The sequence below is a fragment of the Homo sapiens genome, chromosome X, assembly GCF_000001405.40.
Source record: "Homo sapiens chromosome X, GRCh38.p14 Primary Assembly".
NCBI lineage: Eukaryota > Metazoa > Chordata > Mammalia > Primates > Hominidae > Homo > Homo sapiens.
The window spans coordinates 151,733,892-151,747,229 of record NC_000023.11 but is presented as its reverse complement, the minus strand read 5'-3'; the positions used below and the strand labels follow the sequence as shown (position 1 = coordinate 151,747,229).

The 13,338-nt window shown below is 48.9% G+C and overlaps 1 protein-coding gene across 1 annotated transcript; it reads right to left on the bottom strand.

Annotated features, from left to right (window-relative positions):
• CNGA2 (cyclic nucleotide gated channel subunit alpha 2) lies at positions 1,666 to 12,484 on the bottom strand. Its single transcript, NM_005140.3, has 7 exons — positions 12,287 to 12,484; positions 8,637 to 8,772; positions 8,351 to 8,443; positions 7,498 to 7,668; positions 6,329 to 6,436; positions 4,588 to 4,694; positions 1,666 to 4,137 (listed from the first exon to the last, which is right to left on the bottom strand). The coding sequence occupies exons 2-7, from the start codon at positions 8,744 to 8,746 to the stop codon at positions 2,732 to 2,734; spliced, it is 1,995 nt and encodes a 664-aa protein (NP_005131.1). The 5' UTR covers positions 8,747 to 8,772; positions 12,287 to 12,484; the 3' UTR covers positions 1,666 to 2,731.

Below are 13,338 nucleotides of genomic sequence, written 5' to 3'. Positions count from 1 at the left end.
GAAAATAGTTACAAATCATAGCTGATAAGGGTTTAATATCCAGAATATATAAAGAACTTCTACAACTTGACACTCCAATTAAAAAATAGCCAAAGAACTTGAATAGACATTTCTCCAAAAAAGATATACAAACGGCCAATAAGCTTGTGAAAATATGCTCAAAATCACCACTCATTAGAGAAATGAAAATCAAAGCAACAGTAAGATTCACCTGACACCCATTAGGATAGCTACAAAAAACACAGAAACTAAGTGATGGGGAGAATGTAGAGAAATTGGAACCCTTGTGCATTGCTGGTAGGAATGTAAAATGATGTCACTGTTTTGGTGACACACAGAAAAGAAAATGGTTCTTCAAACAATTAAAAATAGAATTACTAAGTGATCCAGCAATTTCATTTCTGAGTATATGCCCAAAAAACTGAAAACGGGGTCTCAAAGAGCTATTTGTATACTCATGGATACAGGAATATTCACCATAGTCAAATGGTGGAAACGACCCAGGTGTTCATCAAGAAATGAATGACTAAGCAAAATGTGGTGATCTATACAATCAAATATTATCTGGCCTTAAAAAGGAAAGAAATTCTGACACATGCTACAACATGGATTAGTCTTGAGGATGTTATGCTGAGTAAAATAAGCCAGACACAAAGGACAAATACTGTATGATAGCACTTATATGAGGTCCCTAGAGAAGTTAAATTTATAGAGACAGAAAGTAGAATGGTTGCTTCCAGGGGCTGGGTAGAAGGAGCAATGGGGAATTTTTACTGGGGACAAAGTTTCAGTTTTGCAAGGTGAAAAATTCTCAAGATTGTTTTCACAAAAATGTGAATATACTTAACACTACTGAACTGTACACTTACAAGTGATTACGATGGTAAATTTTGTGTGTATTTCACCACAAGAAATACATGAATAAATAAGTGGTGTGCATGTGAACAGGAAGGCCTCTGAGTCTGCACCTGGATTTTCTTGCCCACTAATTAGTACTTTTCCTTTAGGCTCCTGATCGTGTTAGAATGCCCAGCTGAAAGACCTGATACTCCAGGAGATCTTTCCCAACTCCCCCAGCAGAGCCAATGCTTCTGTCAAGGCATGACTGCTGTCAGGGAGAAGCATGAGAGTTTTGGTCCGCTGTGTTTCTTTGCTCATTCATCCATTCATTCACTCATTCATGTGTTCACTTACTCCCCCAATGAATAAATGTTCTCTGAATGCTCCTCAGTGCCAGCTATGTCACTGAGGCTCCAAATAGACACATGAGGTAGACTGTCTTGGCCTTGTCCACAGTCAGGAGGGGAAACCAAGTCCACTAAAACTGACCGCACATTACAAAACCAGGACAGAGAGGCTCTGCGCTGTGGGAGCCTACAGAGGAGATAATTGACTAGTGTGGGAGTGGTTGCAGTCAAGTGGGCCTTCTGCGAGAACGTGGTGCCTGAGGTAAGCCCTGAAGGACCCATAAGGCTTAGGCAGGCAGGGAGAGGTGGGAGAGTGTATTTCAGACCGAAAGAGTTCTGGATAGGGGCAAAGAAAAGTAGTCTTTCCTTCATATCCTTGCGTTTCACATCTGCAGGTTCAACCAATGGCAGATTAAAAATATGCAGGAAAAAAATAACAGATCAAAATAATACAAAGAAAAGATACAATATAACAGCTATTTACATAGCACTGACATTGTATTAGGTGTTACAAATAATCGAGAGATGACTTAAAGTATGGGAGGATGTGCATAGGTTATATTCAAATACGACGTCATTTTGTATCAGGGACTTGAACATCCACAAATTTTGGTATCCATGGGGACTCCTGAAAGCAATCCCTGATGAATACTGAGGGACAACCATATGGTGAAAAGAGAGGGATTAATGAAGGGAGGGAGAGAATGTGAACAGCAGAGTTGAGCAATAACCACAGATAGTTCAAAGGAATTTTTTAACTCATAGGTGCCTCTAATGCAGATATTAACTTGAAGAGTCTCCCCACCACCAGCAGTTTTCAGGGCCTCTTTAGGAATGCTCTTCATAGGGGAGGGATGGCCAGAGCTGCCAGCTACCTCTGTCTCCAGGTGGACAAATGCCAGTTGCCTTGCTCCTCACTCCCTGCCCTGGAATGGACCAGAAGCCGGGTCTATCTCCTTGGTCCACAGAAGACTGCAGAGATCCCATCCTGGCTAGCAGACAGACAGATCAATCTACAGAGCAGGAGCTGGAGCATCTGATGGGGGAGGAATAACCCTGAGTGGGCACCCTTCTACCCCCTCCCAACAACACTATCACATCCCTTGGCCTGTCGTGGGAGACAGACACTGGGTACCTGATCTAAATGTCTATAGTCGGTGCTCGAAGTACATGCGTGTGCAGGGAAAAAGGAAGCATTCAGAAGACATGTTAGAAAAAGCGGGGGCCAGAACCAAGGGAGGGGTCGCTATGAGCAAAAGAGCCAGACTCCTGGCAGACAGCTGCCCCCTTCTCCCTTCCTCAGACTTAGGCAGGCCGAAGCTCTCGGAAGCCCAGCCAACGCAGTCTGTACTCTCCACAAACTTGGGCTAAACTTGGAGGCGGAATCTTGGATGTTTAGGCCAAAAACCCAGGGTCAGAGAGGCTTTTGGGAGAATTCAGGGAACATGAGGGTAATGCATGTAAATCCGGAGATCTAAATAGCTCCTCTAGCTTCTGGGATCAAGGCCAAGGCCAATGCTGGAGAGGCAGTTGGGCCCCAGGTCTTATGGCTCGTCAGCAGCAGCCAGCTCAGGGCTGTTCATCCCATCAGACAGGTAGTCATCTTCATTGTTCTGTTTCATCTTGGTTTCCAGAACTGTGATGCGCTGCTTGAGCTTCTGCTGGGCCCCCGTGTACTCAGCCAGCAGGCGGCCAAAGCGAGTGTACAAGGTTTCCATGTTGGTCTCCAGCTGCCCTAGCTTCTCCTGCACGTCGACCTCCATGCTGGTTGCCACTTCGTTCTCATCCAGCAGTCCCTCCTTCATGAGGATCTCCCGACCCCTCTCTTCTAGGACTTTCTTGGCATCAGGGTACTCAGTCACAGCTTCCATAAGATCATCCTTGGACAAGCAGAAGAGATCTGAGTAGCCCAGGCTGCGGATATTAGCTGTGCGTCGATTGCCCATTTTACTGCCCTTAATGTTAAGGATACTGATCTCGCCAAAGCAGCTTCCAGCCGACAGCAGAGCATACTGAGTCACACCATCATCAGCCACCACTGCCAGTTTGCCCTCCTTAATGATGTACATCTCCTTGCCGATGTCCCCTTTGCGGCAAATGTAATCCCCAGGACTGAAGACCTGAGGACGGAGTTTCAGTACCAGCTCTACCAGCAGGCCAGCCTCACAATCATGGAAGATGCGCACTTTCTTGAGTGTGGACAAGTGGACATTGATGGCTATCTCAGCCCTGAGCTTGGCTGGCAGATTCTTGAGAATTTCTCGCTCATCCACTGTCTTCTTATTGGTCCACAAGTAGTCAAACCACCTAATGACCTTGGCTTCCATCCCCTTGCTGACCTTTCGGAACTGCATGTAGTGTTTCACGGCATCGATCTTAGCCTGGAACTCTGCCCGGGTGGCATTCATGTTGGAGATCATGGAGCCCACATTTCCCACGATGGTGGCAAAGATGAGGACGCCAATCAGGAAGTCAAAGATGACAAATAGGTACTCCTCATCCTTTACAGGGGGTGGTGTCTCCCCAATGGTAGTGAGAGTCAGTGTGGACCAGTAAAGGCAATAGATGTATTCCCTAGCCAGGTAGCCATACTCAGGGTCAGTGATGTTTGGGTAAACCCAGGTGTCGACCCCAAAGCCTATGGATTTGGAGATGGCATAATAGATGCAGGCATTCCAGTGGATGATGACCAAGATGTAGAGGACAAGGTTGCTGATGCGGAAGATGTTAGGGTAGTTGGTGCGTGTCTCTGTCCGGTCAAAGAACTCAAACATGCGGGCAAAGTGCAGCAGGCGGTTGAAGCGCACCTCAGGGCTGTGGATGTCCACAGCAAAATAGATCAGGTCAGTGGGGATGATGGAAGCCACATCCAGCTTGAACTGCAGGGTGTGGATGTAGTTGTCTCGCAGTTTCTTGGTATCTTTGACCAGCAGCCCCTGCTCCAGGAAACCTAGTAGAGATGAAAGCCAGCATGTCATCTCTGCCCTCAGGGTATATATATACATATATATGTGCATATATATACATATATATGTGTATATATATATACACATATATATGTATATATATACATATATATATACATATATATATACATATACATATATATATATATATCCTTCCCTATAGGCTAATATCTCTAGGCAAGGAAACTACTGCTCACTGAAACTTCCTTCCCAAGGAAGGATATAGCTCACATACCAGGGCTGGCCAGAAGGACTCTAAGAGAACACCCCGAGATCAAAACCTCTCTATGCATGTGGGACCATGAGGTTCAAAGAAGGGTACTCACCTACCAGAGTCCCACCCAAGCAATTTAGTCCAACACCATGTCCAGTGGGCTTCCTAAAAATTTGGACTCAGGCCTTCGGATTTACCTGCATCCCAGTTGCTCACTGACCTGTGCGCAATCGGATGAAGAGGTCCGCAATGTAGACCACATCTGAGACATAATCCAGCACCAGCCACACCAGGTAGTAGCCTTTCTGTAGGTCACTGAAGCAGGCTCTGCGGGAGGACAGGGCTAAGCTTCACCCCCAAAGCCAGCCAAAGGTCCCTTGGAGGCCCCAAACTGAGTGTTCACTGTGTGCAGGGCTTGGGATGGCTACCAGGGGCATCATTTAGTCACAGTCAGCCTGATGCCAAGAGATATTTATCTACAAGTAACTTCTGCCCCACCCCTCCTCATTACATAACATCACTACATAGACAGCACCACTAACCATTAATTTTCTGTCTCACCCTCTGAACTGTGAGCTCCAGGAAGGCAGGGACCCCTCTTAGTCATTACGGCATGCCCCATGCCTGACCTAGGGCAACAGGATTTGAGCACTCAATGGCTGTGAGTTGAATGAATGAACAAGTCATTGGAAGAATAAACTACAGCACACAACTGAACCATCTCCATGCTCATCTCTTCAACATACATCTTATTCAGCACCCAATAAACAGCACTAGCCAATACACGTGAGAGGGAGAATAGTAGTGGGAATGGAGAAAGTTTGGAGGTTGCAGAACTTTTTAAAAGGAAGTGGCAGGATTTGGCAACTGAGTAGGGAGAGGACTGGGGAGAGAGCAGAGTCAGGGACACAGCCCAGGATGATTGTCCAGTGAGTGTACTAGTCAAAGGGGAGAGCCGTTAAGTCTGACTACTTGGTCACATTCAGACTCAAACTCCAGCCCCCTCCCCTTCCCACTGAGACTGCAGAGCTGGCCCATGCCAGTGATGGCTCACTCACAGCCTCCAGCCACACTAGGCCATCCCGAGACAGGGTTTTCATACTTGCTGTTTCTTCTGCCCAGAATGCTCCCTCCACCATCCTCAAGTATCTAATTGGCTGCCTCCCTCCCACGAGCTAAGGCATCACCTCCTCAGAGACGCTGATCCTGACTGCCCTTTCTCTAGCCACCAGGCCCTGGCATCATTCTGGTCATTTGTTTCATTTCAGGTTTACAGTCACTGTCCGCCACTAGCCTGAGAGCTCCAGGAGAGCAGAGACCATGGTTGTTGTGCTCATCACATTATCCCCAGCACTGAGCACACATGAGGTGCTCAGTCAAATCCTTGCTGAATGAATGACTGGGATTGGGACGGAGTAGGATGGGGAATGCTGCCAAGGAAAGCTACATGTAGATAGTGGCTTTTGAACTTAGCCTGCAAGGAGAAGAATCTCCATAGGTGGAAAATGGAAGGGAAAGGGAATTTTCTCTAGAGGAAACAGCATGTTCTGATCCAAGAGTGGTGAATGCTGGGGCTGGGGTGTATCCAGAAGGTGTAGCAAGAGAAAAAGGTCAGGTCCAGAGGAGTTTGAAGGCCATGCTTAGACCTTGAACTTCCTCCTGTGGACAATGGGGAGCCACTTAAGGGTTTGTGAGGAGGGAATGGCATCACCAAATCCTAGTTTGCTATCAAGCATGTTTGTTGCAAATGTGGAGGATGCACCCTAGGTGTGTGGAACCACTGTAGTTGTCCCAGACACAGGACAGACAAGAAATCTTCATGGCATATTAAATGGGGAGAGGGTTGGGGTTAACAGAGAAGTTGGAGGTGCCATTGGTATCCAGGGACTGCTGCGCCGTCAATCCCGGGGTCTGAAGACTGGGTTGCTTTGGCCACCCCTCCTGGGCCCCACCCTGCTCACCTGGCCACCAGCAGGCACCAGTTGTAAAGGACGGGCATGGCAATGACAAATAGCCAGCAGTAGTACCAATCCCCAGCTGGGTCCAAGACAAATAGTTCAAATTTCTTCCTGAGAAGACAGACAAAGGCAAGGTTTGGGGATCAGGTCCCCCAGTGTGATAGCACCCCAGCTCCCAGAAACCAGAAGTGCCTGAGAAAGCAAAAGCACTGCCGAAGGGTATATGTGGGGTGAAAGATGGGTTGGCTGAGGGCCACATTTTTCAGGGAACTACAACCTGGTACTGGACATCTGAGTGGAACTCAGATGGGCGGGGGCACCCATCTTCTCATTCTGAACCTAGATAGGTCCATTGGTTCCCATGCACGTTACAGGCCCCTTGCCCAGAGGGCATGTCAAGGGGCAGAGCTTTCAGTAGTGGTGGGTCTCAGGGCCTGGGAAGGGATTTCCACAGGATGATAATTGGGGCTTAGGCCTATTCCCACATCCCTCCCTAGAGAGAGGTGCTCCAGGTGAGTGAGCACCATGAGCTTCCTGCCCACCTCACCCTCCCTTTTTGGTCATTGGCCTCCAGCCTCCAAATCACTTCCCCAGATGTTGTGTCCTGCTTTGACAAGGGATGTTGTGTCCTGCTTTCTCTCCACTAGCCAGAGGTGGGGAATGTCAGCTTGGCCAGACATCTGCAGTTGCCTTCTCATTCCTCAAAAGACAAACCCTCCAGCTCTGCCTTCTCTGCCCTCCCCATGCTATCCTGCTCCATCATTCAGCGCTTCTCCTCCATCCCTCTACATGATCTCTTCAAAGACCCACTTCCTTGCCCACAGTGGAGATGAGATTGGCATCCCCTCCAGGGCACTCCCTGAATGCACCCTCTCAGTATTTCCTGACCACTGGAACTGGGCTATACATTCATGTGCAGCAAGAGGACATCTGGCAAGAGGCAACTAAGGCGAGAAAAGACACCAGAGGTTCTCATGGCAAGTAGGCCACTGGCTGTTGGGGAAACAATGGAAATATTCTGGAGGTGAAAACATTGCAAATCACCCTTGCCCACCACTCTTTTTACTACAGCAGGGCTTGTCATAGCCCCTAGCAGTAGCATAGAAACCCCAGTGAGCTCTTCCATTGCATGCTTAAAGCCCATTTGAGTCCCATAGGCTGAACAGCTGTACTTGGTGCCTTTGTCCTCGCCATCCTTGTCGCCTTTGCCATCCCCCTCCTGTGTGGTCACAGTCTGGAGTTCAGGCCCACGAAAACGCTCGAGGAATGAGTCAGGCCTAGGTTCCTCCTCTCGGAAATTCTTGTTGGCCCATTCTCTGATGATCCCCACCAGGCGAACTATCCTAGAGGTGAGAGAAAAAGAGTATGAGCCAGAGCCAAGACTCATGCTGTTCAGAAAGCACCAGTCCCCAAGAGCTCACTGTCTGCTAAGGAAGATGAAAGAAGGACAGTGAAACCTACAAACAGGCCAGACCATGATTTCCCGTGTGCTAAAAGCTGGGGTAGAGGCCATAGGGCAGGGGGCTGGGGCTCAGGCATGACCCTGAATGCAGTCCAGGGGGAGACTGCTGTCCTGGGAAGACTTCCTATAGGAAGTGCCATCTCAGTTGATGGTGCGAAGAGCAAGCAGGAGGTCTTCAGGGAAAGTTGGAGGTGGTGTTAAGGCAGGAACTATCATGAGTAAAGCTTGCCCTGAGCTTCCTGCTTTCCCTATGGAGCCTCTGACTCTGGGACAGAGAGGCCTTGGGTCCTCTACCTAGGTCTCTCTACCGGGAAGGATATCGCTCCCTGATGCTGAGACAGCCAAATGTGAAGGGAGGCCTCTTCTGGCCCCTCTGAGCTTGCCTGCCTTGGGGTTTGCCCAGACCTCAGGAGGACGGAATTAAATTTGGCTACCAGTGACAGTGCTCCTTGGAGGTCTTGGTGGACAGGACTGGTGGGACCGTGAAGAGGAGGGCAGTGGTAGCCACCCTGACAGGCTCCATGCACAGGAAGGGGAAGCAGCAGGGTAGTGGTGGGACCCACCTGCGGAAGCCACTCCTTCCCTGCTGTGGGGCATCCACGTCTGCCAGCCTCTGCAGTTCTGAGGAGGTGTCATCGTCAGCTGCAGAGTGTGGCCTGCAGAAAAAAGAGCAGAATTGACCCAGGGTTCTCAGGGCATGACTTGTCTCCCCTCCTGGGTCATGCTTAGAAATCCCATGTTCTTTTTAGAGGCTGTCCTGGAGACAAAGATTGCTTGCTCTGTGACAATGAGGCAGAGATGGGAAGAAGTAGCAGCCTCTGTACCTTCCCTGATACCATGCAGACTCACCTGCTGCTTGTCCTGTGGTCATCTTTGCCATTGGCCTTGATGGCAGGAGGTGCATGATGGTTGTGATTATTGGCTGGGGAGCTCTTCACACCATTGGTTTTTTCGGTCATCCTCCATGTACAACCAGAGCACTTATCTGCCAGGAAGAGGGCCAAGAAGAAGGTCACAGAGGACCCTGACACCCACAGAGAGTGGGAGAGTGGCAAGTGAACAGGATGGATTAGAACCCAGGCCCACCTGGCCAACCTCAGCACCCTCAGGCACTGCTGTGGCAGTCAGGGCAGTGGGATTCAGCAGTCCCTAAATGCCAGGCACCAGGGCCCAAGAAAATGAGGGTACTCCCCCAACCCTAATATGTAATTGTAAATGGAAACAGTGCTAAACTACAAAATGCGTTTGCTTTTCTATTTTACCCCAGTATTTTTTTACATACAAACTATCAAAGCTAACACAAAACATAACTAACAAAAACTGTTTAAGCCATCTTCCTGTGCCTTCACTTTGCAGATGTCTGGCACATATTTAAGCTGCCGAGCAGCTCCAAGGCAGCCACTGCCCCAAAGCCCTGGCCCAAGCAAGGAAGTGCATCTCCCTGACCCAGAGTAGCTTCCCTTTTCCCTAAGGAGCATGAGCTCTGAGGTGGTCTCCAGTGAGGAGAACCAGAAAGCTGGGTGGCTTGGGGAGGTGTGGGGTAGAGAGCAGCTGCTCTGGGCCAGGGAGACGCACCTCCTCCCTTGGGCCAGGGCTTTGGGGCAGTGGCTGCCTTGGAGCTGCTCGGCAGCTTAAGCATGTGCCAGACATCTGCAAAGCGAAGGCACAGGAAGATGGCTTAAACAGTTTTTGTTTGTTTTGTTTTGTTTCAGCTTTGATAGTTTGATAGTGAGGGCCCTCTCCTCTGCGCAGAGCAGGAGAGGGACAAGTCAGTGTTCTGTGCCAGAAAAATCCCTCTGGCTGCTCTGTGGAGCCTGCATTAGAGGGAGAACAAGGGTGAAGGTTGGGGCAGGGAGGAGGCTGGACAAGAGTACCAATGGAGCCCAAGACAAGAGGGCAGAGTGCGGAACTATCTGGGAAGGAGATTGAATGGGACTCAGAGGAGTGGATGTGGGGAGCAATGGAGAGAGTGGGTGGGATCACAAAGAAAGAGGAGACAGAGTGAGGGTCTGGGGCAGAGTTGTGGAGAACCCCAATATTTCAGAGTTGCACAGAGGATGAGGTGTCCACAAAATAGATGGAGAAGGAACAGCCGAGGAGGTAACAATCTAGAGGAGGGACAGGAGATTGTGTCCCACAGTGTCTCTTGCCACAGAGTCAGGAGATACTTGGAGGAGCTCTTCCCTGCCAGGGCTGGTTGGCATGCCCTACCAGGTGTGGGCAGAAATGGTCAGCATGACCCCCAGATTTCCCACAGCCCATGCTGCTGGACCCACAGTCCGGAAGCTGTCCCTGGAGCTCCCTCAACCCCCGCCTAAGCTTGTTCCAGCCTCTGAAGCTGTCACCATGGCGATGGCAGGCACGTCAAACAGCCTCAGAGATGCTCACCTGGTGCTCTCTGCGGAACTATGGCACCAGGATAGTAACGAGGGCACTTGAGGGAAAGGAACCAGCATCACTGAGTCCCTGCTTGGACCCTGGAGGCAGCAGACCATGGAGACAAAAAGTTTCAGGCAATGCAAACAAAGCCGGAGCCATTCGCACCAGAGTTTCAGGGCTGGCCTCCTGGAAAAGCTGGTGTTGAAGATGAAGCTGGCAGATCAAAAGGGCTGTAATCCAGGGCCAGGCCAGTGCTGGGGGCACAGCATATGTTCACATCCTCTCTAAGGTTCTGTCACAAAGGCAGATTCCCCCACCCCATGACCCCTGCTCCTTCTGTACCAGGAAACAGACCCGTCCCTGAGCCTGACTGCCTGCACACCCTCCCCTTTGCCAGAAACTGCCCCCTCATGCTGCTTGCTGGAAACAAGGCAGTGGGGCTGGTGGGTCTCATGTATACACCCTCTCCAGGAAACCTCAAGTCCCAAGGCTCCAGCTACCATCATGTCAAATCAGCTCCTCCTCAAAGTTACCCACCTCTGAAAGGGGCCTGCCCTCTTCCCAGTCACTCAAGCTGGAAGCCTGGTGTCAACCGTAACTCCTTGTTTCCTTTATCACATCCAAGCAGCCTCTGCCCTGAGTAGATTGTCCCCACAAAAAGCGTCAAAGTTCTGTCCACCCATTGCCCTCCAACCCCAAGGCCCTGGACTGGTCTCAAGCCTTCAACATGGCTCTCCAGGCCTGCTGCAGTGGACTCCAGATGGCTCAGTGTTCACTGGGGTCTGGACTGGAGGTGGGCGCATGATCACCAGGGTTTACATTACAGGTAAAGCTCTCAGGGGGATGTGTCCATCCCCATATCATGAGAACAGAGAAAAAAGCTAAGGGTAGAGCTCTGGGGAGCTGCAACCATGAAAGACAGCTGAGGGGCTGGGTGAGTGAAGGAGAATGAGGCTGGGGATGTGAGAAACATGAGGGAGTTCCCAGGGAAGGCAGAACTTTCAGGAAGGGAGCTGTCTGCAAGGCCAATGCCCCCCTCCCATATCAGGAAGATAAGTGTTCTATGCCGGGTACTTCTTCCCCCTGAGATGAGAGCTGGAGCGGGCACTGGGTGGAACAATAGAGGCCTCGCTGGGGACCTTATCAAGAGTAGCGTCAAGGAGTGGTGGTCAAACAGAGCTTGTTTCATGAAGTTTCAAGCGAGGAGTAGGAGGGGACAGACAAGAGATAGAGCACATAGCTCAGTCTTTCTAAGAGACTGAGCAAGAAAAAGAGGAAAGATAGAGTGGGAACTGGAGGAGGATAGGGGGCTGACAAAGGTTCTCTGTCTTGCTGTTGCTGTTATTTTCTATGTCAAGAAGATAATAAAGCAAGCTTAAAGGTTTTGAGGAGGAATTCAGTAGATAATAAAAATATGTGTGCTTGTGAGCCACTCCAGTTGAGGCTGAAGCCCATGAAACATGGGTGGAATGGGAAGGTTCAGGTACCAGAGGAAGTGACAGGAGACAAATCCAGGACAATGGGAAGGGGTTGCTGAGAAACAGGCCACAAGACAGTTGAAGGGATTCACTCTTGCAAAACCCCAGTGTTCTAAGTGAAATGGGAGGGATGGGGGGATCTCATCTTCAGAGACACCAGGCAGCAGTAGGTGCAGACTTTGGAGGCCAGAACGTTTGCAATAGCTGCTGCAAGGACAGACAGGAGATACCAAACAAGTGCGAGGACAAGAAAAGGCTTGGCAAGGAAGATGACAGACCATGTACCTACCAAAGAGAACAGAGATGGGCAACAGATCTTAGATGAGCAGTGGGATTCTCAAGGAGGGTGGTTTAACAACCTAGAGTAAGGCATGATTATTTGGTAAAAAGTCCAAACACAGTCAAGGTGGAGTTGTAGGCCTCTTTTCTCCTTATCCACAAGTTGAGCAGCCAGCCCAGGACTTTAAAGAAAAACCAGCCTAGTCAAGGAGTTTATTGAAAGAATTTTGAGGAAAATTCCTTCCTAGAGAAGTCAAGTCAGAGAGAGAAGGAACAAGTTCATCATATAGCCAAGATTAGAAGTTTCAGTTCATGGCCCATTCATTCACTCATCTATCTCACACACATCCCCAAGACACCTACTATGTGCCAGGTCCTTTGCTGGGTGCTGAGTTTAGAAAGAAGTGTCTGGCAGTCTCGAGCTCAGTGGTGGTCCCAGAGTAAGAGATAGACAGGAACACGATTTATCCCAAGTCACTTCTCTGTCCATGTTCTATTGTGTTTCTGAGCAGCATCTAACAGTTTATCCACGCCATCTTTCTTGAAATAATAGAGTCTACTCCCTTCGTTCTCCTCCTCCTCACTGGCCACTTCTCAGTGTTCTTTGAAGAGGCCTCCTCTTCTTCTCCAACTCTAAATGTCGGAGTGTCCCAAACTCAGTCCTTCAATGGACTTCTTGTCTTTTCTCTCTTCATCACCTCCTTCTCCAGTCTCATGGCTTTAAATACGTCTGTATGTTGATGACTTGCAAACTCTTAACACCAGTTCAACCTATCCCATGGATAGTAATTTACCTCCCTCACATAACCACTTGGATTTTGAATAGGCATCTCAGGCTCCATATGTCCAAAAGTGAGTTATCTTCCCCTCAAAAGCTTATCCTTCCATAATCATCTGCATCTCAGTAAAGGCAAAGCCATACTCCCAGTTACTCAGGTCACAAACCTCAGCATCATCCTTGACTCCTCTTTTTTTCATACCCCATGGACTCTACATATATGCAAATCATATGGGCTCTACCTTCAAAACATACCTCTTATCCAATCACTTTTTATCTCCACCATTACCACGTTAATCAAAGCTACCACCTTTTCTCAGTGCCTGGAACATAGTAGGTGCTCAATAAATAAGTTTTAAATGAGTAGTCTATGCATGGTCCCTGCATTTTTCCCAGTCCATTACTCCCTCTCTTTTTACTTTCATTGCACAGCATAAGATTCTGCTATATCAATTATTTGATTTTAAAGGAACATGCAACACTTTTCCTCTTAGCCAACATGGGGTAACAGGGATCATATTTTTCCTCCAGAATGAAACAACCAAACATAGAAAAAATATGCGACACAACAGTTTTCAAGACTATAAACGTTAGGCAACAAAGGATAGCTATTCCTAAGAGACAGGAGCCAAATGTG